The sequence below is a fragment of the Homo sapiens genome, chromosome 11 (assembly GCF_000001405.40).
Source record: "Homo sapiens chromosome 11, GRCh38.p14 Primary Assembly".
NCBI classification, from domain to species: Eukaryota; Metazoa; Chordata; class Mammalia; order Primates; family Hominidae; genus Homo; species Homo sapiens.
Genome location: NC_000011.10, coordinates 68,785,392 through 68,812,944, shown reverse-complemented (window position 1 = coordinate 68,812,944; position 27,553 = coordinate 68,785,392). Strand labels below are relative to the sequence as shown.

The 27,553-nt window shown below is 47.9% G+C and overlaps 1 protein-coding gene across 10 annotated transcripts in view, besides 1 other annotated feature; it reads left to right on the top strand.

Annotated features, from left to right (window-relative positions):
- Positions 1-27,553, top strand: part of CPT1A (carnitine palmitoyltransferase 1A) — an 89,658-nt gene that overhangs the window by 31,333 nt on the left and 30,772 nt on the right. For 7 of the 10 annotated variants that reach the window (NM_001031847.3, NM_001440360.1, NM_001440358.1 and 4 more), the window contains 7 exons: positions 369-508; positions 5,307-5,478; positions 8,844-8,945; positions 13,590-13,727; positions 16,012-16,089; positions 18,034-18,141; positions 19,543-19,630. In NM_001031847.3, the coding sequence (NP_001027017.1) occupies positions 369-508; positions 5,307-5,478; positions 8,844-8,945; positions 13,590-13,727; positions 16,012-16,089; positions 18,034-18,141; positions 19,543-19,630 (826 nt within the window). Of the gene's footprint in view, positions 1-368; positions 509-5,306; positions 5,479-8,843; positions 8,946-13,589; positions 13,728-16,011; positions 16,090-18,033; positions 18,142-19,542; positions 19,631-26,909; positions 27,203-27,553 lie in introns of those variants that run through there. The other 3 variants (NM_001440367.1, NM_001440363.1, NM_001440365.1) reach the window with 3 other exon arrangements.
- Positions 14,033-14,532: an enhancer, noted in NCBI's record as "H3K4me1 hESC enhancer chr11:68565881-68566380 (GRCh37/hg19 assembly coordinates)". NCBI's record gives its function as "activates a minimal SCP1, AML or CMV promoter by ChIP-STARR-seq in primed H9 embryonic stem cells {active_cell/tissue: H9 hESC(primed)}" and the evidence as "EXISTENCE:reporter gene assay evidence [ECO:0000049][PMID:30033119]".

Below are 27,553 nucleotides of genomic sequence, written 5' to 3'. Positions count from 1 at the left end.
GGGGTCTCGGGGCATTCTAGACAGTAGCAGGCTGGGGACAGGACGTCATGGTGGCTCAGTGACGTCCTTCACCAGCTAAACTAGTGCCTGGGCTGATTATCATGGCCCGGGGCGTCGACTCTTGGGGAAGCTTTCAGGGTGGGTTTTGGCTCGGAAGTAGTGGAAGGGAGGAAACTGGAATCACTGCAGGCTGTAAACTCTGGGGAGAGTCCCAGCTAGTGGGGTGTGGTTTCTCAGTGCACGCACGCTGTCCACACCCTCTTCTCACTGCCTGCTGTCCCAGCAGCCCTGCTGCCAGGGGCCATGAAGCGTCATTGCCCTGTGGGTTGTGGGAGGACACCGCTCACGGCCCGGGTGTCTGTCTTTAGAACGGCATCATCACTGGCGTGTACCCGGCAAGCCCCTCCAGTTGGCTTATCGTGGTGGTGGGCGTGATGACAACGATGTACGCCAAGATCGACCCCTCGTTAGGAATAATTGCAAAAATCAATCGGACTCTGGAAACGGCGTAAGTAATCCTGTGAAATCTCCAATTGTCTGGGAAGTTACCGATTTTATTGCTGTTTTTATGTCTCTTCAAATGTGATGATTGTCACTGTTCTGGATTCCATATGAAGCTCCTGATGCTGTTCTCACGTCAGCTTTCTTCCTGTCTCCTGGGTGCTGTTAAGGTCCCCCTAGGAGTTTGCGGTCCCCTGCGGCCTTTCCTCTGTAGACCAGGGTGAGAAGAGTGGTAGTGGCCCTGGGGCACCCCTTGGAAGGTGTCAGGGCCCGAGGGTTTGGTCAATAATGACAGTGCCCTTAGCCTGGCCAATAGGGCTCTGAAATGGAATTTCTGCTCAAAGGGCTGATTCCCCATGTAGTCATTTCTTTGCACTTGGAGTCTGTTCATTCCAGAGTTCTGTGACCCTTGAACTGACTGCTGTGGGGTCCTCTGCAGGGACCTCACCCACTTAACTCTGTCAGAATGGTTTAGAAATCTCCAGGGACCCCCCCGTCCCTCCTACCTCTAGGGTTTTGGATTTTCCTGGGGCTTATTTCTTGCTACCAAGAGATAAGCCCAGAGACACCTTAGGTAACATTCAGCACATGTTCATTTTATTTTTTTTTTCTAACCACCTGCCGCCTGTTGATAGCACATGTTTATTGCACACCTGTGATGTCTGTTATTCCATCCAGTTCTGGAGATGGCCCAGACTCCCATCTAGGAAGGTCAGAGCCTGCACTGCAGTGACCTCTCATTAGGGTCCCTTTTACCAGTGAGAAAGCATTCAGACAGGTGCAGGTGTCTGCCCAAGTCACAGGAAGAGGGAGCGGGGAAGCTAGAGTTCAAACCCAGCTCTGCGCAGCTCTGAAATCTGTGCTTTCTTCAGTGTAGCACTGAGGTCCCCCCACCCCCTGCCCCAGAAGCTTCTGTGAGACAAATGCGAGTGAACACCGCTGCTTTACCACCATTTGAACGTCCAGACAGTGGAACGCAGGGCAACTCAGCTTCCTCGTGCAGCCGTGACCCTTGGGCTTGGACACACATTTTACTTTCGGGTCTGAAAGCTCCACAGTGTCTCGGAAGTGTCCCTGCTGCCCCGTGCCAGACGTTTGATTCGATTTCTGTGCTGCTTGTTTACACCAATGGCATTTTTGCCATTTGGACACGGTGGTTCACACCTGTAATCCCAGGACTTTGGGAGACCGAGGTGGGTCGATCACCTGAGGTCAATAATAGCCACCAACTCCTCATAATTGGGCTTTGTTTTGGGGCCAGGAATTGCAGGTGGAAGGCACAATGCCGGGTCTGGGCTAAGCTAAAAAACGAAGCTCTGGATCTTTATAGTCACGCCTTCCAGGTTGTTTGCATATAAATATTGTTTAATCAGAAAGAAATAAGAAAATAAACCGGCAGAAAAAGAGACGTAAACGAAAACTCACTCACAGTTAACGGCTGAATTTGATTTTTTTTTGGAAATGGAGTTTTTGCTCCGTTGCCCAGGCTGGAGTGCGATGGTGCGATCTCGGCTCACTGCAACCTCCGCCTCCCGGGTTCAAGCAATTCTCCTGCCTCAGCCTCCTGAGTAGCTGGGATTACAGGTGTCCGCCACCATGCCTGGCTAATTTTTGTATGTTTTGTAGAGATGAGGTTTCACCATGTTGGCCAGGCTGATCTCGAACTATTGACCTCAGGTGGTCCACTCGCCTCGGCCTCCCAAAGTCCTGGGATTACAGGTGTGAGCCACCATGCCCAGCCTTGATTCTGATGACTAGAAATAAAAGATTAAGCAGATTAATGGTCTGAGTCTCCTGATGACAGCTTGAGCAAGTGCCCTGATTCCTGAACCTCTTTTTGCGAAGGGTCTGCAGAGGACCCCTCCACATCCTGTTCCTTCTCCAGGAAGCCCCTGGACCCTCCAGAGTCATCGAGCGTCCAGCTGAGTTGCTTGCAACCTTGAGGTAGCTCAGGAACGCTGGCTCAGGCCTCTATAAGAGTCTGCAAGAAACATAATAAAAGTTCCCAGTCATTTTAGCAGAAGCATGCCTGGCTGGGACGCCTGCCAGGTTCCTTGTCTGCCTGGGTACTGCTGTCATTGCTGTCACTCAGAAAGCAGCTGGCAGACCTGGGTGCTCAGGGCAGGCCTGGCTGCTCTCTTCCTTGAGGTCCCAGGACCCACAGGCCTGCGGTGGGTAGCTGCCTCCGAGCCTTGTGTCTGGAGCTGTTCCTACGTACTTTTCATTCTCTCATGGGGCTAATGAATATCTTCTTTTTTTTCTTTTTGAGATAGAGTCTCACTCTGTCACCCAGGCTGGAGTGCAGTGGTGCGATCTCGGCACACTGCAAGCTCCGCTTCCCAGGTTCAAGTGATTCTCCTGCCTCAGCCTCTTGAGTACCTGGGACTGCAGGCACATGCCACCATGCCCAACCAATTTTTGTATTTTTGATAGAGATGGGGTTTCGCCGTGTTGGCCAGGCTGGTCTTGAACTCCTGACCTCAAGTGATCCACCCGCCTTGTCCTCCCAAAGTGCTGGGATTACAGGCGTGAGCCACTGCACCCAGGCCAGTTCTTTAATTTACTCTCTAGTGTAGGCGCTCTCTTAAAACTGGATTATATATAGAAGTGTTGACTGTTTAAAGCCCTTAATAATCTGGGTCTTTGTAAGATTTGTTTCTTTGTACCTCTTAAACCTATTTTGGTAAACTGGGCCATCCCTGGCCTAAATTTAGAAAGGCCGGGTTAAGGGCCAACGTCTTCCAGCCTCATGGGCCATTTCCTGTCCTGGAGGGGATCTGCAGTATCTCTGGGCTGCTGCCTTCAAAAGTGGAGTCAGGCTGGGTGCGGTGGCCTGTAATTCCAGCACTTTGGGAGGCCGAGGCAGGAGGATTGCTTGAGCCCAGGAGTTCAAGATCAGCCTGAGCAACATAGTGAGACCCTATCTCTTAAAAAAAAGAAAGAATAAAAAAGTGGAGTCATCCGTGTCATGTGAGGTTTGTCTCTGAGTTTGTCCCCGACAGCCTTGTAAGGAGCATGTCCTTTCAAAGAAAGCTTTTTGCTAACGTTTTTTATCTGAGTGCCTCTATGTCTATACTTTTAAAAATCTTGAATGTGTCATTTATTTGTTTATGCTAAAATATTTTTATTTTTGCAAATCAAGTAAGTATATAGGTCTTTTTCTTTCAGTAATCTAAAATGTAGATTATCTAAAAGATAGCTTCTTAAATCCCTAAACCCAAGTTTGTTTATAGGTTAGATGACCAGAAAAGAGTGTATAGGTTTAAAGAAGAGACTACAGTGAAACTCCAGTGCTAGATTTCACGGGTTATAGAAAGATATACATTTTGGAGCAAAGAGTATATAACCTTGAAGATAATTTGTTTTTGTCCACTTAAATATTATGCAGTGTTAAATTAGTGGTTTTCTTTTTTTATTTCTTATTTTGAAGAAATATTTATTATTTTTTATTTTTATTATTTTTTATTTCTTATTTTATTTTCTTTTTTAAATTTTATTTTTGTATTGATGGGGTTTTGCCATGTTGTCCAGGCTGGTCTCGAACTCCTGGACCCAAGTGATCCACCCATCTCAGCCTCCCAAAGTGCTGGGATTATAGACTTGAGCCACTGCACCTGGCCAAATTAGTGCTTTTCAAATATTAGGGACACCTTTAGGTTATATATATTGGTGTTTTAATCATTTGAAGCATGCTTAAATAGTTTTCATTTAAAAAATATTTTGCAGTTCCCAAAACAACCAAAACTAAAACAAACCACAAAATAGCTGCATTTCTGGCCAGGCACAGTGGCACACACCTATAATCCCAGCACTTTGGGAGGCCGAGGCGGGTGGATCACCTGACAGGAGTTTGAAACCAGCCTGGGCAACATGGCAAGACCCCATCTCTACAAAAAATACAAAAATTAGTTGGATGTGGTGGTGCGCACCTGTAATCCCAGCTACTCAGGAGGCTGAGATGGGAGAATCATTTAAACCTGGGAGGCGGAGGTTGCAGTGAACCAAGGTCACACCATTGCACTCCAGCCTGGGCAGCAGAGCGAGACTCTTGTCTCGAAAAAAAAAAAAAAGCTGAATTTCATCTCATTTTTAAAGTCCCATCTTTACCATAATATATACTACCTTCCTTCACAAACAAAAACATTTCCTGTATTTAAGTTGAATATTTACATGACCGTTTTACACAGTCCGTTTCTTTATTTGTGTTAAATACACCTAAGTCAAAAACAAGCTCTTTTGATATAAATACTGGAGGTAACAGTTGTAACAAATAATTTGAGATTACGATTACATCTAAAAGTAAGTTTGAGAGAAAAAAATTCATCAAGAGCTGAAGAAAGTGGCCCAGAATCTCCTGCGCACCTGCCGGGGACGCACAGGTCGGCAGGGCATGGCTCTCACGGTGGCCAGGTCCTGGCCTCACAGCATCCCCTCTGCCGTTGGTCCTGAGGTCCTGGAGGAAGCTGTATCTTTTTCCAGAAGACACAAATTAGCCCTGGTTGGTTTCGAGGCCACCCGAGCAGATCGGGCTGAAGGGACCTCTGGGAAGAGAGCAAACAGGCCCGCCCCGGGCGCCTGGGTCTGCCAGCTACTTTCGGCGTGATTGGTTTTGGGGTGAGGAGGAGAGTGCCCGTGAGTGTTTTAAGAGCTCAGTTCCTGCAAGTGCTCTCCCTCTGACTTTCCCGGCTGTACCTGGGGCAGGCTGCTGGACCCTGCAGCACGTGGTGTCTGTGGCGTCACCGGTGGTGTTGGTGGCACCGTGTGGCCTCACGCACAGCCTCCCTTGTCTGGGTCTGTCTCCACAGCAACTGCATGTCCAGCCAGACGAAGAACGTGGTCAGCGGCGTGCTGTTTGGCACCGGCCTGTGGGTGGCCCTCATCGTCACCATGCGCTACTCCCTGAAAGTGCTGCTCTCCTACCACGGGTGGATGTTCACTGAGCACGGCAAGATGAGTCGTGCCACCAAGATCTGGATGGTAATTGCGTGTCCCTCTGGCTGTGGAGGGGGTGGACAGTTTGGGCTTTGGGAAGAAGGACACCCCTGCGGAAGGACACCCCTGCGACCTTTTCTCCCTCTATGCTTGGTTGGTGACTTGGGCCTCAACCTTGAATGGCTGGAGAGGTTTGAGTCACCATGACACAAAAGCAGGGGCCAAAGAGTGCTTCTCTTTTGTGACATTAGTGAGACCTGCAGCATTTTATATTGAGGTCTGCTCGGTTTGTAGTTCAGGTCATTCATCAAATAAAAGTGCTGTCCATCCGGTTCTTTGTAGTGTTCTTGACTCACTTGTTGTCAGGCATTAAATGGTTACCTTAGCTGACCCCTCAGACAGGCTCCCGTGACTCAGACTTAGCTTCTGGAATGTTCCTCCAGCTTGCTTTGGCCCTCAGCCCAAGGGTCCCTTATTTAAGGTAATGGCTTTGCCATATATGTGGATGCTTGTCCAAATTTCATGATTTAAATGTTTTTCTTTTTTATTTATATTTATATTTTTTCATTTTAGTTTTTTTTGAGATGGAGTTTCACTCTTGTTGCCCAGACTGGAGTGCAGTGGTGTGATCTCAGCTCACTGCAAACTCTGCCCTTCCAGGTTCAAGCAATTCTTTTGCCTCAGCCTCCCAAGTTTCTGGGATTACAGGCATGCACCACCATGCCTGGCTAGTTTTGTATTTTTAGTAGAGACGGGGTTTTACCATGTTGGTCAGGCTGGTCTTGAACTCCTGACATCAGGTGATCCTGCCTTGGCCTCTCAAAGTGCTGGGATTACAGGTGTGAACCACTGTACCCAGCTTTTTTTTTTTTTTTTTTCTTTTTGAGACAGGGTCTTGTTCCATTGCCCAGGCTGGAGTATAGTGGCACCATCACGGCTCACTGCAGCCTCGACTTCCTAGGCTCAAGTGATTTTCCCACCTGAGCATCCTGAGTAGCTGGAACTATAGGTGTACACCACCATGGCTGACTAATTTTTATATTTTTAATAGAGACGGGGTTTTGTTGGCCAGGCTGGTCTCAAACTTTTGAGCTCAAGTGATCGGCCCACCTTGACCTCCCAAAGTGTTGGGATTACAGGCATGAGCCATCACACCCGGTCTCAATTTAAATGTTTTTATGGGGGCTGGGCATGGCTACTCATGGCTGTAATCCCAGCACTTTGGGAGGCCAAGCCCAGTGAACCACCTGAGCTCAGGAGTTTGAGACCAGCCTGGGGAACATGGCAAAAAGACGTCTCTACTAAAAATACAAAAATTAGCCAGGCAAATTAGCCAGGCGTGGTGGTGCATGCCTGTAATCCTAGCTACTTGAGAGGCTGAGGTGGGAGGAATGCTTGAGCCCAGGAGGTCAAGGCTGCAGTGAGCTGTGGTTGTGTCACTGCACTCCTAGGGGACAGAGCCAGACCCTGTCTCAAAAAAAAAAAAAAAAAAATTTATGGGCTTAGTTTTTCTGAAAATCAACCCTCCAAGATGGGCATCGTCTCTGGACTTTCGAGGCCTCCGTCTGGGGGGCTGGGGCCCCTGTGACCCCCTGCAGGCGGGTGTGTGCCCCGTGTACCATCTGCCCATTGTAGTCATGGCCCTGGGCCTTGGGCTTTGCTCGGCACCTCAAGCCCAACCTGGGTTTCTGGGGCCAGATGTGTGTAAAGAAACATCTGCTTTATTCACCCCTGTCTTGCCAAGTGGCCTAAATGGTTGTAATGGACCAGGTCATCATGGAAACATTTTCTGCAGAATCTTTCTCGAATGGGGCTGATCCGTGGGTCTGCCGGTGTATACGAAGCCGTGGGTCTGCTTTGGTTTCTTGTCTGCCCCGACCTTGGCCCCGGTGCCCTTCTGCTTGGTCGCCTCGGGATGGCCCCCACAGTGGTGCCTGCCTGGACTGGGCTGCTGTCCCAACCTCTGGGGGAGCCTGCTTGTGAGAGAAGCATGGGAGTCACTGCAGTGCCCACCACACACCGGGACTCCACTCTTTGCCAAACAAATTTTTTTTTTTTTTTGAGACAGCATCTTGCTCTGTCACCCAGGCTGGAGTGCAGTGGTGCAATCTCGGCTCATTACAACCTCCGCCTCCCGGGCTCAAGCGATTCTCTCACCTCAGCCTCCACAGTAGCTGGGACCACAGGCACACACCACCACGCCCAGCTAATTTTTTGTATTTTTAATAGAGACAGGGTTTCGCCATGTTGGCCAGGTGGTCTCGAGCTCCTGGGCTCAAACGATCCACCCTCCTCGGCCTCCCAAAGTGCTGGGATCAACAGGCGTGAGCCACCACACCCAGCCAAACCAATTTTTTCTCTCAAATCAATTTTCTACCATTTGGATATAAAATTTCTGATTTCTAGAGAAGCAGAATTTAACACCTAGAAGAGACTCAGGGGTGGCTCCCACACTTGGCAAAGCAGGCTAAAGGGCACTCCCTCCAGTGGGTTCACAGCTGAGGTTCAGCTGAGTCCCAATGCCCTGCAGTACCAAGACTCCCCGCCTGGGCCCAAGGACTGCCTTTGTTTTGGTTGCCATTGAGGTGACTGGTTATTATACAGGCTTGATCATCCAGCCTAAAACCAAGGGCCACAGATGTGTCCTTTGGGAGACTTGGCAATGACTGAAGGAAAGAAACTGCTTCCCCTCGGCTTGGCTCAGGGCCAGGCACGTTGACCCTCCTCACTGTTCCTAGAGCCTGGAGCCCATCCCGAAACTAAGGGCCTTGCGGAAGGAGGTGGGGTGAGACTCACCCTAGGTGCAGAAGCACGGTCAGGGTCCTGGCCAGTCACGACGCTGGCAGCGACATCTCACGGCCTCTGTCAGGCTTGGCTTTGATTCTACCTGGTTTTTTGGTTTGTTTGTTTTTGTTTTGCTTTTTGACATAGGGTCTCACTATGTTGCCCAGGCTGGAGTGCAGTGGTATGATCATGGCTCACTGCAGCATCACCCTCCCAGGCTCAATCAATCCTTTCACCTCAGCCTCCCAAGTAGCTGAGACAACAGGCACATGCCACCATGCCTGGCTAATTTTTTGTAGAGGTGGGGTTTTGCCATGTTGCCCAGGCTTTTATTGGCATGGAGGGCAGGGTTATATGCTTATTTGCTAGAACCTGTAAGTATGGGGCGGGTAAAAGATGGACCAGATGAAAAATAAATCGACACAGAAAATCAGTAAGTGGTTGGCACATTGTGCGCACGGGAAAAGTGGCTTCGGATCTTTAACATAGCCTTGTCTTTGAAATGGTCATTCTCCCATCCAAGTACTAACCAGGACTGACCCTGCTTAGCTTCACGAGATCAGACGAGAACAGGTGCCTTCAGAGTAGTATGGCAGTAGTCTGAAAATATAATTCTCTCTCTTCAGGGTATGGTCAAGATCTTTTCAGGCCGAAAACCCATGTTGTACAGCTTCCAGACATCGCTGCCTCGCCTGCCGGTCCCGGCTGTCAAAGACACTGTGAACAGGGTAGGTGTGGCTTAGGCCTCACACTGAAATGCCAGCCATCTGTGGATTAAGGCTTAGGTCTTAATTATGATGAACTAGGTCACCGCCATTTGGCTCAAGTAGCCTTCAGCGGTGTGCCTGGTAGGGTTCTCATAGGAACTCTTTTTTTTTTTTTTCTCCAATGCATCACTGCTGCATCTTAGGTGTTTTTTAAAAAGTGTCAGGTTTCATAGAGAAACTGCTTGTGAATTTTTTAAAGCTTTATTTTATTTTATTTTATTTTATTTTATTTTATTTTATTTTATTTTTTGTGATGGACTCTCCCTCTGTCACCCAGGCTAGAATGCAGTGGTGCAATCTCAGCTCACTGCAACCTCCGCCTCCCAGGTTCAAGTGATTCTCCTGCCCCAGCCTCCCGAGTAGCTGGGATTACAGGCACCTGCCACCACGCCCGGCTAATTTTTGTATTTTTAGTAGAGACAGGGTTTCACCATGTTGGCCAGGCTGGTCTCGAACTCCTGACCTCAAGTGATCCACCCGCCTCAGCCTCCCAAAGTTCTGGGATTACAGGCATGAGCCACTGCACCAGGCCAGTTTTTGCTACTTTACATAATTACTAAATACAACATTGTATTAAATGATTGCAGTCATTCCCCATTCTTCCCTCCCCCCACCTAGTAACTTCTCTTCTACTTTCTGCCTCTGGATTTGCCAATCTGAGGGACCTCATATAAGTGGCATCATATCATATTTGTCCTTTTGTGACTGGCTTCTTTCACTCAGCAAAATGTCTTCAAAGTTCATACACATAGCAGCCTGTGTCAGAATTTCCCTCCTTCTTATGGCTGAATAGTATTCCATTGCATGGCTAGACCATATTTTATTTATCCGTTCATCTGTTGCTGGGTGGCGAATGTTTTTGATCTGATTGGTGAGGGTCACCAGCTGAGGGTGGGGTGATAGTCAGCTTCTAGCCGGTCTGAGGACAGGGTGCTTCTTGACACAGCAGCCGCACTTCAAAGCCAGGCCCCCAGGGGCAAGGCACTACCTAGAAAGCCTGTCATTTCATCCTCAAAGCTACTCATTTCTTTTTCATTTTCTTTTTTTTTTTTTTTTTTTTTTTTGAGACAGGGTCTCACCCTGTTGTTCAGGCTAGAGTGCAGTGGCGCGATCTTGGCTCACCACAGCCTCAACTTCCTGGGCTCAAATGATCCTCCCACTTCAGCCTCCTGAGTAGCTGGGACTACAGGTGCATGCCACTACATATGGCAATATTTTTTTTTTTTTGAGACAGAATCTCGCTCTGTCACCCAGGCTGGAGTGCAGTGGCGTGATCTTGGCTCACTGCAAGCTCCACCTCCTGGGTTCACACCATTCTCCTGCCTCAGCCTCCTGAGTAGCTAAGACTACAGGCCCCTGCCACCACGCCTGGCTAATATTTTTTTTTTGTATTTTTAGTGGAGACGGGGTTTCACTGTAGCCAGGATGGTCTCCATCGCCTGACCTCGTGATCTGCCTGCCTCGGCCTCCGAAAGTACTGGGATTACAGGTGTGAGCCACCACGCCTGGCCCTATTTTTTTTTTTTTTTTCCAGAGACGGAGTTTCACTGTCTTGTCCAGGCTCGTGTTGAACCCCTGAGCTCAAGTGATCTACCTGCTTCGGTCTTTTTTTTTCTTTAATTGAACAAAAGGAGAGGGAGCAGCTCCATTTCTTTGTTTTTAAAAAAATTATGGTAAAATGTACACAACATGAATTGTACTGTTAACCATTTTCAAGTGTACAGTTCAGGGGCACTAAGTACATTTATAATGTTGCGCAGCCCTCACTGCTGTCTCGTTCCAGGACATTTCATCCCCCAAAAGCTCATAGCCACTAAGCAGTCACTCCCCATCCTTCTACCTCCCTCTCCCAGCCCCTCAGAACCACTAATCTCCTGTCTGTCTGTATGGATTTGCCTCTTCTGGACATTTCGCATAAATGGAATCACGTGGCCTTTTGTGACTAGCATGTCTTTAGAGTTCACCCGTGTTGTAGGATGGATGAACTTCATCCCTTTTTGTGGCTGAATAGTGTTCCATTGTATGGAAGGACCACAGTTTATCCACCTGTTCATCCGCTGTTGGGGACGTATCCAGGAGTGGAATTGCTGGCTCATGGGAATTCCGTGGTAACTCATTGAGGAACCATGAGACTCTCACGCAGCTGCACCATTTTGCATTCTAACCAGCAGTGCATGGGTGCTTTAGTTTTTCCACATCCTGGGACTCCAATTTTAAAACTATAATAATAAGCAAAAACTTCTCGGGTTAAGGGTTTGAATCCAGGCTTGGTTACTGAGTCCCTGTTGGCCTTGGTAAGGTCTTCCCATCTCTGCTCTTTTTTTTTTTTTTCAGACAGAGTCTTGCTCTGTCACCCAGGCTAGGGTGCAGTGGCATGATCTCAGCTCACTGCAGCCTCTATCTCCCAAGTTCAAACAATTATCTTGCCTCAGCCTCCTGAGTAGCTGGGATTACAGATGTGCACCACCACACCCGGCTAATTTTTGTATTTTTAGTAGAGACAGGATTTTACTATGTTGGCCAGGCTGGTCTCGAGCTCCTGACCTCAAGTGATCTGCCCACCTTGGCCTCCCAAAGTACTGGGATTACAGGCACAAGCTACCATACCTGGCCCACCCCATCTCTCCTCTTCTGTGCCCACGCTTGCAAATCAGGGCTGATGACGGCCCCTGTTCCACTGGCAGGATGGGGTGAGCAAGAGATGCTTGACCTTCAGTGACCTCTGTCTGTGTTGCGTAGCTCGGGGTTCCACTTCAGCTCATTCAGGGCATGATTTTCTGTCTCATTCACGGGCATTTTACTTTGAATAAGCCTCAAGATGCTTGACACCTGCCCCCTCCCCCTTTTTTTTGGAGACAGAGTCTCACTCTCTTGCCCAGGCTGGAATGCAGTGGCACCGTCCTAGCTCACTGCAACCTTGAATTCCTGGGCCCGAGTGATCCTCCTGCCTTAGCCTCCCAAGTAGTTGGGGCCACAGGTGTGCACCACTATGCCTGCAAATACTTTCTTGTAGAGACAGGGTCTTGCCATGTTGCCCAGGCTGGTCTTGAACTCCTGGGCTCAAGCAGTCCTCCTGATTCAGCCTCCCAAAGTGCTGGGGTTACAGGCATAAGCCACCGTGCCCAGCTACAGCTGGCCCTTTTAAGGGAGTGGGGTCTTACTTTTCAATGTACAGGGAGGGACTATAGAGAGATTACTGTTGCACCAAGCTTTGTTTTTTACAGCAGACAAACAACTTGTCGGATTAAAATATGTCATGACAAATTGTGGGGTTAGCAACAGTTTTACTTTTTGTTGCTGGGGGAAACAGCATCTCACCCAGGCTGGAATGCAGTGGTGTGATCATGGCTCACTGCAGCTTTGAACTCCTGGGCCCAAGTGATCCTCACACCTCAACCTTCCAAGTAGCTGGGATCACAGGCACATGCCACCGCACCCAGCTAATTTTTGTATTTTTTTTTTTTTTTTTTGCAGAGATGGGGGGTCTCACTCTGTTGCCCAGGGTGGTCTTGAACTGGTCAAGATTGCTTGGGCTCAAGCACTCTTCATACCTCAGCCTCTCAAAGTGCTGGGATTACAGGTGTGAGCTACCACACCTGACCACTGTTACTTTCTGTAAGAGCTTGCTTAGGTGTGTAGCAGAAGCTTTTGAGTGTCTTTTTAAACAATTGCTCTCTGTGTTTCCACCTCTGAGCATTTGTTCAACCAAAGTAGCACATGTAAAAGGACGAGGCGGGGTGGGGGCTGGAAACCCTGAACCTGGGGCACTGGCCTTAGCCTGGTTCCGTGACCTATTCCAGCCCCTCGTTCCCATCCTGCTGCCTGAGCACCTGCCCAGCCCCAGCACCCAGCTCTCAGCATGACTCTGCCCCATCTCATGGTCACCATCGCAGGTCATCAAAACTTACTTAGGTCAGAACAGATCTTTTATTAAGGGCCAAATAATAGATAAGAGACATTCTTGAAATTTCCTTGTTAACTTTTCTTGTCAACTCTAGAATTTATTTTAAATTCTAAAAATTTAATGGTGATTTTCTGGTGATGCAGGATTTGGGACACTTTTAAAGCTAATAAAGGAAGAAAAAGTTTAATTGTTAAATTATCATTACCCTATGACACCATTTAGCATTGAAGGGAGTTTACCTGTCTAAGGACTGCCAAGACCAACTTGGGGGAAGAGTCTAAACTTTTTCTTTTTTTTTTTTGAGATAGGGTCTCACTCTGTTGCCCAGGCTGGGTTGCAGTGGCATGATCATGGCTCACTGCAGCCGCAACCTTCTGGGCTCAAGCGATCCTCCCAACCTCAGCCCCCCAGGTAGCTGGGACCACAGACATGCACCACCATGTCCAGCTAATTTTTGTCTTGTTTTTTTTTGTAGAGATGGGGTTTCACCATGTTGTTTAGGCTGGTCTTGAACTCCTGAGCTCAAGCAATCCACTGGCCTTGACCTCCCAAAGTGCTGGGATTACAAGCATGAGCCACCATGCCCAGCCTAAAACCTTTTCAATGTGTTAGAACTTTTCCTAAGGCACAAGTGAGGCAAACATAGGCTTTGATTAATATGTTTTAACTTGGGTGATTTTTTTTTCCCCCAATAATCCCAGTATCTACAGTCGGTGAGGCCTCTTATGAAGGAAGAAGACTTCAAACGGATGACAGCACTTGCTCAAGATTTTGCTGTCGGTCTTGGACCAAGATTACAGTGGTATTTGAAGTTAAAATCCTGGTGGGCTACAAATTACGTAAGTCTGTATACACAGTTTTTCTTGATGAAATTTTTCCGTATGAAGACGCTAATTTTGAGGGGCAGGGATAACAGGGCTGAAATGACAGTTTGGATTAGCCAAAATCACACCCTAGGAAGTTCCAGCTATAGTTTTACCTCTGTGCAGAGTGGAGTGTGTGTGTGTTAGGACTGACGTGTAGTTACAGTGACAGTTTCTTGGTTTTTGGATTTTTTTGTAGAGACAGAGTCTCACTATGTTGACCAGGCTGGTCTCAAACTCCTGGGCTCAAGTGATCCTCCCACCTCGGCCTCCCAAAGTGCTGGGATCATAGGCATGAGCCACCACACCCAGCCTACAGTGACAGTTTTACCCTGAGTGCAGGTACACCAGCACGATGCTGTGTTTTGCACGCAGGAGGCTTCTCCCTCTCCCTCTTCCCCGGAGAGTCCTCCCGTGAGCTGTTTCTCCTGCAGCAGTGCCATGCTGCCCCAGAGACCTGCTCCCATCCTCCTCTTTGGTTTATCTTGATTCCAAGGGCATCCTTCCCGAGCTCGCTGGTGGATGCAGGGATGGTGTGGGATAGGGCGGTGCTGATCGCCCCTCCCTGGGGTTGAGTGTGGCTCGGTGGTCCCAGGAGCATCTCCTCCAACGAAGCGTCTTAGCTGGCACCCTGTGTGCGGGGAGCTGGCTGGGCTTCCACGTACTGGGAGGGCAAGAGCAGGCCTCCGGCAGACAAAGCAAGGGAGGGAGTCTAGCTTTGAGGAACAACTAACACGGAAGAGAAGGTGTCCAAAGCGACCCTGACAGAACCAGCAGGTGGCGCTAGACGTGGCATGGTGGGTGGATGGGCAGTGCCTGGAGGGGTCTCTCTAGCCTCAGGGGGCCGGGCATATTCGCTGGCTGCACCGGTGTGCTGGACTGGTAAACGTCAGCTCTCTGCACAGCTCTCCGCACACGAGGCCCTTGCATGGGCACTGTTCTGTAGGTACGTGTGTTTCAGCACAAAGCTGAAAGGAAGCGATCCCTGGGTCCAGCAGGCTGTGAAGGGACAGCAGCTGTGAGGTGGTTGGGGGGCACTGCCTCTGGGTGGCCTCAGGACACATGTGCCAGGGAATAGAGACAACACCTGCGGAACACCAGGTTAGTGCCACGGACTGGGACGGTGGCTTCTTCAGGCAGACCTGGGAAGCAGTCTGTGGAGCAATTTTGCATAACATTGGTTTTTTCTTTGTTTTCTTTTATTTTCTTTAGTTTCTGAGACAAAGTCTCGCTCGTCACCCAGGCTGGAGTGCAGTGGAGCGATCTCGGCTCACTGCAAGCTCTGCCTCCCAGGTTCAAGCAATTCTCCTGCCTCAGCCTCCTGAGTAGCTGGGATTACAGGCACCCGCCACCACACCCGGCTAATTTTTGCATTTTTAGTACAGACGGGGTTTCATCATGTTGGCCAGGCAGGTCCGGAACTCCTAACCTCAAGTGATCAGCCCGCCTCAGTCTCCCAAAGTGCTGGGATGACAGGCGTGAGCCACCGCTCCTGGCCTTTGTTTCTGTTTTCTTTTATTTGAGAAAGGGTCTTGCTCTGTTGCCCAGGTGGGAATGCAGTGGCACGATCATAGCTCACTGTTGCCTGGAACCCCTGGGCTCAAGTAACCCTCCTGTCTTAGCCTCCCAAGTAGCTGAGACTACAGGCGTGAGCCACCACACCTGGCTAATTTCTTAAAATTTTTTGGAGAGATGGAACCTTGCTATGTTGCCCAGGCTGGCTTCAAACTCCTGGCATCAAGCGATCTTCCTGTCTCAACCTCCCAAAGTGCTGAGATTACAGGTGTGAGCCACCATGGCCAGCCCATAGTTTTGGTTTTTAAAACATGTTAGCAGTCAGACATTTATGATTTACTTTCCATTTGGTCTCTTAAACATTTTTAAATTTTTATTTTATTTATTATTTTTATTTTTAATGTAGGGCTAGAGCCTTGCTATGTTGCCTAGCCTGGTCTCGAACTCCTGGTCTCAAGCAATCCTCCCACTTCGGCTTTTTATTTCCCTTTTGAACCATCTACAAAATGAAGGTGATGTACCTTCTTTCTGCCTGTCTCAACTTAAAAAGAACACTTTTCATTTCCCACGGTGTCGCATTCCATCTAGTTAGGACTGCGTTCCCTGTTCTGGAATGGCCCCTGTTAGACGCCGAAATGTCTGCCAAAAGCACTGCCTGCCCTTCCCCGCGGCTCTGGGCTGCTGCCAGGGAGCCTGCCTGGCCCCTGCTGAGCCTGCGGGTTTGTCTGGTGTTTGCGCCCACTAGGTGAGCGACTGGTGGGAGGAGTACATCTACCTCCGAGGACGAGGGCCGCTCATGGTGAACAGCAACTATTATGCCATGGTGAGTCCACCCGCCCGGGCTGCTGTCTGACGAGGACGGTGGGGCGGCGGGTCTGTCCACAGAGGTGGCGTCTTCACAGGCCTGTGGACGGCCTGGGAAAACTCTGGGGATTGGCTCATGCTCCTCTCTGTCCTGCTTCCAGGCCGGAGAACCCTATGAGTACCCTTCAGTGTTAGCCTAGTAGCCCAGGGTGCTCTGCTACTGCAGGGGGATTTGGGTTGCAAAAATAAGTTTCTGGCAAACAGGAATTCCTCACTGTGCTGTACCTGTCCTGCTGTTTTTTTGTTTTGTTTTGTTTTGAGATGGAGCTTTGCTCTTGTCCCCCAGGCTGGAGTGCAATGGCACGATCTCGGCTCACTGCAGCCTCCGCCTCCCAGGTTCAAGTGATTCTCCTGCCTCAGCCTCCAAAGTAGCTGGGATTACAGGTGCCCACCACCACGCCCAGCTAATTTTTGTATTTTAGTAGAGACGGGGTTTGACCATGTTATCCAGGCTGGTCTCGAACTCCTGACCTCAGGTGATCCACTTGCCTCAGCCTCCCTAAGTGCTGGGATTACAGGTGTGAGCCACCGTGCCCGGCCTGTCCTGCTGTTTTTATGGCTTAGCACTGGAACTTGGTGCCACAGCGGCCTTAAGATCCCTGCAGAACCCCTAGAGCTCAGGGACAGTGGGTTGGCCAAGATCCTGCCACCAGTGCGCTGCGCTTCACCCTACTGTTTTCTGAGACGCCAGAGGGGTGTGCATCGACGGTAGTTTCTGGTTTCCTGGGCTTTGTCTTTCAAAGCATGGATGGTTAGAAGGCCTCTCAGTTTGTGTTCTTGACCACTGCTTTAATAACTGGCAAATAGAACTCTTCTCTTTCCTTTTCCTTCCATTCCTTCACTTCCTTTTATTTTTTTCCCTCGTTTATTTTTTAATCATTTACTTTTTCTTTTCTTTTTTTTTTTGAGATAGAGTCTTGCTCTGTCGCTGAGGCTGGAGTGCACTGGTGCAATTCATCTCACTGCAGCCTCTGCCTCCTGGGTTCCAGCAATTCTCCTGCCTCAGCCTCCCGAGTAGCTGGGATTACAGGCACCTGCCACAACGCCCGGCTAATTTTTGTATTTTTAGTAGAAACGGGGTTTCACCATGTTGGCCAGGCTAGTCTCAAACTCCTGACTTCAGGTGATCCGTGCGCCTCGGTCTCCCAAAGTGCTGGATTACAGACATGAGCACCTGGCCTATCATTTGCTTTTTCTTTCTGTTTTTCTTCGTTTCAAAATTGTCCTTTCTTTTTCTCTTAACTTTTTTTTTCCCATCTGAAATAATCTCAAACTGAAAGAAAAACCGTTAGTGTAGTCCATAGAACTTCTTTTCCTGCTCTATTTGGAAGTGAGCTATTTATCTGATGCCCTTCCCGCCAGGAGACCTTTGTTTATTTCCCACAAACAGAGGCACTTTCTACATCAATGGGGACATGGTGTGTACATAGACTCTTCCAAAATGTAGGTTAGACCTGTGTTCCTTGGCCTTTTCTTCCAATTGTGGAAAATGCAGACATTTGGAACAGGGTCTCAAAATTTAGAAAGCTGCAGGCACAGCTCTATATAAACAACTATTTTAACCTTTCATTGTGTCTCATCCAGAAAACTTCCTGATTGTCTAATTGCTCCCCGACTAATTTTTGCTTTCCTTTCTCTGTGTTACGTGAGGGTATTTGGTGCAAATAGTTATCTTTAATAGCGCAGAAGTTTTAGAGGACTTATGTTCTCATAAAACATTTACAAAGTCAAAGTGGAGAAAATCAAATTACCATTTATTTTGTAGCATTGCAGATGTAACCGAATATGTATGTATATTGATGCATCTCTAGAAATATTGTGACAGTGTGCAGGATGTGCTGTGATTATTTAAATTTGCTTATCTTTCCCTATGCAAATTCTCTCCACCTTTGTCGCTTTTCAGGATCTGCTGTATATCCTTCCAACTCACATTCAGGCAGCAAGAGCCGGCAACGCCATCCATGCCATCCTGCTTTACAGGCGCAAACTGGACCGGGAGGAAATCAAACCAGTAGGCAAACAAATTGCTTTAAAAAAATTATTTTCAAACAGCTTTACAGAGGTATAATTGACATATTGCACATGTTTAAAATATACAGTTTGTGGCCGGGCACAGGGTCTCACGCCTGTAATCTTGGCACTTTGGGAGGCCAAAGCAGGCGGATCATCTGAGGTTAGCAGTTCAAGACCAGCCTGGCCAACATAGTGAAACCCTGTCTCTACTAAAAATAGAAAAATTAGCTGGGCGTGCTGGCACGCGCCTGTAATCCCAGCTACTCGGGAGGCCGATGCAGGAGAATCACTTGAACCCAGGAGGTGGAGGTTGCAGCGAGCCAAGATAACACCATTGCACTCTAGCCTGGGTTATAAGAGCAAAACTCCATCTCAAAAAAAAAAATTAAAAAATAAAGTGTAGAGTTTGCTAACTTCTGATGTGTATATATTGATGCATCTGAGAAACCATCATCACTGCAGTCAGGATGGTGAATACATCAGTCAACCCGAAAACCCCTCTGCCCTTTGTCATCTCTCCCTCCCACCTGGTCCTGGACCCCCTGGTCTACTATCTGTCACTCTAGATTAGTTTGCAATTTTTAAAGCTTTGTGTAAGTGGAATCATAACAGTATGCACTCTTTTTTTCGGAATTCTAGTTTCTTTCACCCAGCCTAATTATTCTGAGATGTAATTCTCCTTGTGTCTCCTAAATGAATATACATCTGTTGTACTTTAATTCTGTAATCTGCCCTTTGGAGAAGCCCTTGATGTTTTTGAACTAATACTAGCTGCTTAGTTGCTCATAAGAAACAAGACTTTTCTTCCTGGAATATTTCTTTGGTTGTAAGTGTCAGTTATCAATAATCAATTAGAATGTGTTATTTAGGATTTAACTGTGCAGGAAGTTGCACCCTGGCATGGTTTAATGAGTCCCCCAACGAATCATTCCAGTGAGCCACTGGAAAAGAGGAAGTCAAACGAAGCAATTCGCACAGAAAACACATTCAGCATTTCCATGTGGTCTTAACTTGCTTGCTGCTTGCTGCTTTTGTTTTCTTTTTTTTTTTTTTTTTGAGACAGAGTCTCGCTCTGTTGCCGAGGCTGGAGTGTAGTGGCACGATCTCAGCTCACTGCAGGCTCTGCCTCCCGGGTTCATGCCATTCTCCTGCCTCAACCTCCCAAGTAGCTGGGACTACAGGCACCCGACACCATGCCCGGCTAATTTTTTTGTATTTTTAGTAGAGACGGGGTTTCACTGTGTTAGCCAGGATGGTCTCCATCTACTGACCTCGTGATCCGCCCGCCTCAGCCTCCCAAAGTGTTGGGATTACAGGCGTGAGCCACCGCACCCGGCCAACTTGCTGCTTTTCTTCTGTGGGATTTTCGTTGTTGGTTTGAAATATATTTTTGTTACAGATTCGTCTTTTGGGATCCACGATTCCACTCTGCTCCGCTCAGTGGGAGCGGATGTTTAATACTTCCCGGATCCCAGGAGAGGAGACAGGTGAGTCAAGCTTCTTCAGGGCCCCCTGGAGAATCGGCACTTTCCATCCCTATGCTCAGAATTAGGAAGTGTCAAAGGGGCCAAATTGATTTTTGCTGACCCTTCCTGAGATTGTAGGCTGGTGAACATTCCTTCTGCTGAATTTCCTTTGTCTGTCTTAGGCCTGGACACTGTTGTTGACTTATTTCCAGATTTTAATTTCTCTTTGGTTGAAGACTGCCAACTGTCTCATAGAGTGTTTGATTTATTTATTTATTTATTTATTTTGACATGAGGTCTCTCTCTGCCACCCAGGCTGGAGTGCAGTGACATGATCACGGCTCACTTCAGCCTCCACCTCCTGAGCTCAAGGAATCCTCCCATCTTAGCCTCCCCAGTAGCTGAGACCACAGGCACATGCATCATGCCTGGCTAATTTTTGCATTTTTTATAGAGATGAGGTTTTGCCGTGTTGCCCAGGCTGATCTCAAACTCCTGGACTCAAGTGATCCGCCCGCTTCGGCCTCCCGAAGTGCTGGGATTACAGGCGTGAGTCACACACAGCTGAGTGTTTTTTTCCTGAGTCTGGATTCCTCAGGGGCATTTTACTCCGGCTCACAGTCAGCGTTTGTGATGGAACGCACACTGGGTCGTGCTCGGAAAGGTGGATTTGTGTTCCAGCCACTCCTTTATCAGCTGCCTGACCTGGGCAGGGTGGCCACGTAAGCCACCGTCCAAACCAGGACGTCCTTGAGAATGACAGGGAGGGAGAACAGGCACCGTGGGGAACATCCAGGCCAGGCCCAGGCCCAGGCTGTGCTGTCCATGGCCTCCATTTCCCCAGGTGCCTGTGGATGGGGAACTACCCAGAGACACTTGGTGAGCTAGAGCCCAAGACCATCATGGCAGGCCTGTATGACGGGCGGGCCTCGGGGCTGCTTGGGAAGCTGGCTGGAAAGGGCCAGAGCTGACCTGCAATTTTATTTATTTATTTTTTTTTAGAGGGAGTCTCGCTCTGTTGCCCAGGCTGGAGTGCAGTGGCGCGATCTCGGCTCACTGCAACCTCCACCTCCCGAGTTCACGCCATTCTCCTGCCTCAGCCTCCCGAGTAGCTGGGACTATAGGTGTCTGCCACCACGCCCGGCTAATTTTTTATATTTTTAGTAGAGACGGAGTTTCACCGTGTTAGCCAGGATGGTCTCATCTCCTGACCTCGTGATCGTCCCACCTCGGCCTTCCAAAGTGCTGGAATTACAGATGTGAGCCACCATGCCTGGCCTGACCTGCAGTTTTGAGTGTCTTGTTGCAGCCCGGTCCTTCCAGACCAAGCCCTAGTCAATATTCCAGACCAAGCCCTAGTCAGTAGTGTGCACTGTGGTGGTCATTGGGGAGCCTTTGCTGTATCCTTGCACAAAAGCTGGCCTCTGAGTGGGCTTTCCTAAGCAGATTCTCCCCTTTCCTCTGATCCTGCCTTCAGAGGTTCTCTAAAAACCCATTCTGGCCAGGCGCGGTGGCTCACGCCTGTAATCCCAGCATTTTGGGAGGCCGAAGTGGGCAGATCACCTGAGGTCAGGAGTTCAAGACCAGCCTACTACTGGTCTACAAAACCCCATCTCTACTAAAAATACAAAATTAGCCAGGTATGGTGGTGGGCACCCGTAATCCCAGCTACTTGGGAGGCTAAGGCAGACGAATCACTTGAACATGGGAGGTGGAGGTTGCAGTGAACTGAGATTGTGCCACTGCACTCCAGCCCGGGCAACAAGAGTGAAACTTCATCTCAAAAAAACAAAAAAGAACCCACTCCATGTGTGTTCACGGATTTCACAGTGTTTCTGGCTAAACCCCTCCTCTCTTCCTGCCACACACTGTCGTCCATTGTACTGTAGCTCAACATGTGAAAAACAGATGTGTTGGCCAACAGCAGTCCTGGGGCAGTTGGGCAACGAGGTGGAGGAAAGTGAAGTTGGTTCTCTCCATCCTCTCACAGTGTCTCCCTGATTGGAGGGGCAGTTGCCCCTTCACTGACCAGGGCAGGCAGTGTCCCCAAAGGGAAGTGGGTCAGGGTGTCCTGGGGAGGCTGTCACCTGCTGTCAGTCAGCACCGTGGTATGGGGACATCCTTAAGATCATTTAAGTTTGAGACATGCGGCCTACACTGACAGTGATTCCAGGAGGTAAATATGTATGTGTTTAAAAAAATAAACAAGGGAGGCCAGGCACAAAGGCTCATTCCTGTAATCCCAGCACTTTGGGAGGCCAAGGCAGGTGGATCACCTGAGGTCAGGAGTTCGACACCAGCCTGGCCAACATGGTGAAACCCCATCTCTACTGAAAATACAAAAATTAGCCAGGTGTGGTGGTGCATACCTGTAATCCCGGCTACTCAGGAGGCAGAGGTAGGAGGATTGCTTGAACCTGGGAGGTGGAGGTTGCAGTGAGCCAAGATCATGCCACTGCACTCCAGCTTGAGTGACAGAGTGAGACTCCATCTCAAAAAAATATGTATATGAAATAAAAATAAAATAAATCAATAAACAAGGGAAATGCTGGGATAAAACCTAGTTACTTAGTGTACCTGGACAGCCATTCTGAGCATGATACCTGAGTCAGTTTCCTGGGGCTGCTGGAATAAATGACCACAAACTGGATGTCTTAAGACAAAAGAAGTTTCTTCTGCCACAGCTCTGGAGGCCAGAGTCCGAGATCAAGGTGTCAGCAGGGCCGTGCTCTTTTCAAAGGCTCTGGGGGAGGCCTTTATGCCTCTTCCAGCTTCTGGGGGGGTCCAGGTGCTCCTTGGCTTGTAGGCATATCACTCTGATCTCTGCCTCCATGTCACCTTGGCTCTCACCTCTGTGTGTGTGTGTCTCTCTTACAAGGACAACAGTCATTGGATTTGGGGTCCACCCTAGTCCAGTATGACCTCATCTTAATATTGAATTATATCAGCAAAGACCCTATTTCCAGGCCAGATGTGGTGGCTCATGCCTGTAATCCCAGCACATTGGGAGGCTGAGGTGGGTGGATCACCTGAGCCCAGGAGTTTGAGAGCAGCCTGGGCAACATGGCAAAACCCCATCTCTACAAAAAATACAAAAATTAGTCGGACATAGTGGTGTGTACCTGTGGTCCCAGCTACTCAGGAGGCTGAGGAGGGAGGATCACTTGAGCCTGGGAGGTGGAGACTGTAGTGAGCTGAGCTGTGATCACACCACTGCACTTAGCCTGGGTGACAGAATGAGACCCTGTCTCAAAAAAAGAAAAAAAAGACCCTACTTCCGATTAAGAAATAAGGTTTTCACAGGTACCAGGGCTAGAACATGGACATATCTTTTGGGTAGAAACAGCTCAACTCATTACAACAACGGAAAAATCCAAATATTGTCATGTAAAGATTTTAGTTTTCTATATTTCAAAAATACTTCAAACTGTTTTAAAAGGTAGATAACAAATTGAGGGTAAGTGCTCACAACAGAGAACAGGGTTAATATGTAAAGAGTTCTTATAAATCTGCCAGAAAACCATGAAGATCCTAATTGGAAAGGAAATGATGGGCACCCCTGGAAGGAGAAATGTTTAAGGAGTTATAGAAAAGCATTCAACATCACTGGGAATGAAAGAAATGTAAATACAAAGCCTGGGAGTGGTGGCTCACGCCTGTAATCCCAGCACTTTGGGAGGCCGAGGCGGGTGGATCACTTGAGGTCAGGAGTTCGAGACCATCCTGGCCAACATGGTGAAACCCCACCTCTACTAAAAGAAACCCACAAAAATTAACCAGGCGTGATAGCAGATGTCTGTAATCCCTGCTACTCAGGAGGCTGAGGCAGGAGAATCACTTGAACCTGGGAGGAGGAGCTTGCAGTAAGCTGAGATCGCACCACTGCACTCCAGCCTGGGTGACAGAGCAAGACCCTGTCAAAAAAAAAAAATAAAGAAAGGTAAATGTATATGAGCACGTGCAATGCCATTCGTTGGTGATCATCGGGCAAAGCCCCACCCACTTTCTCAGACATCCCCACCGGAGGATCCCATCAGTCACAATCCTCACTAATTAGACCATTCAAATTCCCCAAAATAAAAAAAGGGAAAGAGGTATAGACTTATCTTAAGGGTCTTAAGTTCTGGCATTTTTCTATTTAATAATATATATTGCTATAAAATGGAATTACTACCAAAATTTAGAAAATCTTTTAGCAGAAGATACAGCCCTAATCTTACCACTCCAGTACAATCATTATTGACATTTATGATGTACTTCGTTATAGTATCAAAACAATTCCAGTATGTGAACGCTTTTCTTTCTTTCCTGTTTTCCTTTCTAAGTGACGCTCAGTGAATTCTGTGTATGTTTCTCCCCTGCATGCATTGGTCAAACAGTCTGTAGAGCAGGCACCTAGAATTGGCTTGCCGGCTGCCCTGGTTGACATTTCCAGTCTTACTGGCATGGACAAATTACCCTCAAAGTGATTTTACCAACTTTCACGTCCCCAGCAATCTATAAAATACCCTTTTCCCTTCATTTTTGCCAAAAGGGTTAGCAACTTTTAAAATGTTAACTGGACATTTGGGTTTCTTCTGTTGAGAATATTGTTCTTATATTTTGTATATTTTTTAAAAATGGATGTGTATCTTTTCCTTATTGATTTGTAGAAAGTATTTATATATTCCAGACATTCTGCTTTTTTTTTTTTTTTTTTTTTTTTACTTTTGTTTGTTTGTTTGTTTTTGTTTTTTTGAAACTGAGTCTCACTCTGTTGCCGAGGCTGGAGTGCAGTGGTGCAATCTTGGCTCACTGCAAACCGCACCTTCCAGTTTCAAGCGATTGTCCTGCCTCAGCCTCCCTAGTAGCTGGGATTACAGGCATGCACCACCACACCCAGCTTACTTTTGTATTTTTAATAGAGACGGGGTTTTGCCATGTTGGCCAGGCTGATCTCAAACTCTTGGCCTCAAGTGATCCGCCCGCCTCGGCCTCCCAAAGTGCTGGGATTACAGGCATGAGCCACTGTGCCTGGCCCCTTTTTTGTTTTTTAGGCGATTTTAATAAAATGTCATACTTTTCTCCATGAAGTCCTTGCAGCACATCATTTGTTCGAGCTGTTTCTAAGCACTTTTATTGTTTTGTTCCTTTTCAAGAATATTTTCAAGGTGTTGGTTATGCAGCGTGTAAGTTTGCCCAGGCCACCATAACAAATACCACAGACTGCACGGCTTAAGCAAGACAGCGATTTTCTCACAATTCTGCAGGCTGGAACTCCAACATCAAGGTGTTGGCAGAGGTGGTTCCTTCTGTAGGCCCCTCTCCTTGGATAACCATCTCTTCCCTGTGTCCTTACGTGGTCATCCCTCTGTGCGTGTCCTAAAGTCTCCCTTTTTTTTTTTTTTTTTTTTGAGACTGAGTCTCATTCTGTCACCCAGGCTGGAATGCAGTGCACAATCTCGGCTCACTGCAACCTCCACCTCCTGGGTTCAAGTGATTCTCCTGCTCCAGACTCCCAAGTAGCTGGGACTACAGGTGTCCGCCACCACGCCTGGCTAATTTTTGTAATTTTTTAGTAGAGACGAGTTTTCACCATGTAGGCCAGGCTGGCCTCGAACTCCTGACCTCAGGCGATCTGCCCACCTCGGCCTCCCAAAGTGCTGGGATTATAGACGTGAGCCACCGCACCCAACCCTAAACTCCTCTTCTTAAAAGGACACAGTCACATAGGATTAGGGCCCACCCTAATGACCTCATTAAAGACCCCATCTCCAAATGAGGCCACATTCTGAGGTGCTGGGGGTTAGGATTTCAATATATGAATGGGGGGACACAGTTCAGCCTGTGCCCTGGGGTATAGGAACATGAAAGGTTTTTATAAACTGTGTTTCTACCCAGCTGTATTCTTTTTTTTTTTTTTTTGAGACAGAGTCTTGCTGTCGCCCAGGCTGGAGTGCAGTGGCAGGATCTCAGCTTACTGCAACCTCTGCCTCCCGGGTTCAAGCTTCTCCTGCCTCAGCATCCTGAGTAGCTGGGACTACAGGCACATGCCACCATGCCCGGCTAATTTTTTGTATTTTTAGTAGAGATGGGGTTTCACCATATTAGCTAGGATGGTCTTGATCTCCTGACCTCGTGATCCGCCTTCCTCGGCCTCCCAAAGTGCTGGGTTTACAGGTGTGAGTCACTGCACCCAGCCACTACCCAGCTGTATTCTTATTGGCTTAAACAGCTGATAGGTTTTCTTGGATTTTCCACATGCTAATCATAGCTGCAAATGACACCTTTGATATTTCCCTTTCAATCCTTTATCTTTTACTTGTTTCTTATTTTATTGCCCGGCCAGCATCCTGAGTGTAATGTGGAATATACATAGTCATGGTGTGCATTCTTGTCTTGTTTGTGACTTTAAAGCGAAGGCTTCAAATGCCGTTTGGTCCAAGTTTCTGGTAGGAACCCTTCAGCAAACCAAAGCAGGTCTCCTGCATCCTTGGTTTGGTAAACATTTTAAAAATCAGAGCAGGAGGCCAGGTGCAGTGTCTCATGCCTGTAATCCCAGCACTTTGGGAGGCCGAGGCGGGTGGATCACCTGAGGTCAGGAGTTTGAGACCAGCCTGGCCAACACGGTGAAACCCCATCTCTACTAAAAGTACAAAAATTAGCCAGGTGTGGTGGCAGGTGCCTGTAATGCCACCTACTTAGGAAGCTGAGGCAGGAGAAGCTTGAACCCGGGAGGCGGAGGTTGCAGTGAGCCGAGATCGCGCCACTGCACTCCAGCCTGGGCAATAAGAGCGAGACTCCGTCTCAAAAAAAACATGAGATCGGGCATAATATTGATTAATTCTGTTCTTCATCTGGCCGGGTTCTTCTTAAACATCACTTCCTTAGTGGGGGTGGAAGGGCTTTCTCACATCTCCAGGCTAGGTTGGTCCTAGTCCTACACTTTCTAGCCTTTTGTGACACTTGTCCTATTTTGTTTTTGTTTGTTTGTTTGAGATAGGATCTTGCTCTGTCACCCAGGCTGGAGTGCAGTGGTGCAATTTCAGTTCACTGCAGCCTCTGCTCCCCAGGCTCAAGTGATCCTCCCATCTCAGCTCCAGAATAACTGGGACTACAGGTGCACACCACCACACCCAGCTAATTTTTGTATTTTTTGTAGAGATAGGGTTTTGCCATGTTGCCCAGGCTGATCCCAAACTCCTGGGCTCAAGCAATCCTCCCTCCTTGGCCTCCTGAAGTGCTGGGAATACAGGGTGAGCCACTGCTCCTGGTAGCTTGTCCTATTTTTAATCATGCATTTATTTGTCTTCCTCACTAGACGATCTGCCTTGATCAGCTGTCACTGTGCATCCCCACTGAGCAGTGCTTAAGAGGACTTGATAAATATTCGTGGAGTGAACGTACTTCATCACATTTCTGTGATGTTTAAGCTTACTGAGGAGCTTAAATTACTCTGTTTTAGTAGTTTTTACGGAATGGCTTGGTTTCGTAATTTTCCACTTTCTTTCTCAGAACATTTCTCGGGTTCTCAGAAACAATTATCGGAATGTTTCTCAGCATATTTTCTAAGTTGCCCTATTGTCATTAATTAATAAAAAGTTACTATACGGATCGAATGCCTATTTACATGGGCTTTACGGATATCGTCTCTTAATTCTTGCACAGTGCATATGGGGAACATATGACCTCCATTTTACTGAGGAGAGGCTTAGGGAGGGTTGGGTAATTTGTTTTTTTTTTTTTAATGATAATATTCCATTTTGCTAAGCATGCTTTTTTTTTTTTTTTTTCCTGAGATGGAGTATCACTCTGTTACCCAGGCTGGAGTGCAGTGGGGTGATCTCGGCTCACTGCAACCTCCACCTCCTGGTTTCAAGCGATTCTCCTGCCTCAGCCTCCCGAGTAGCTGGGACTAGAGGTGCATGTCACCACACCTGGCTAATTTTTGTATTTTTAGTAGAG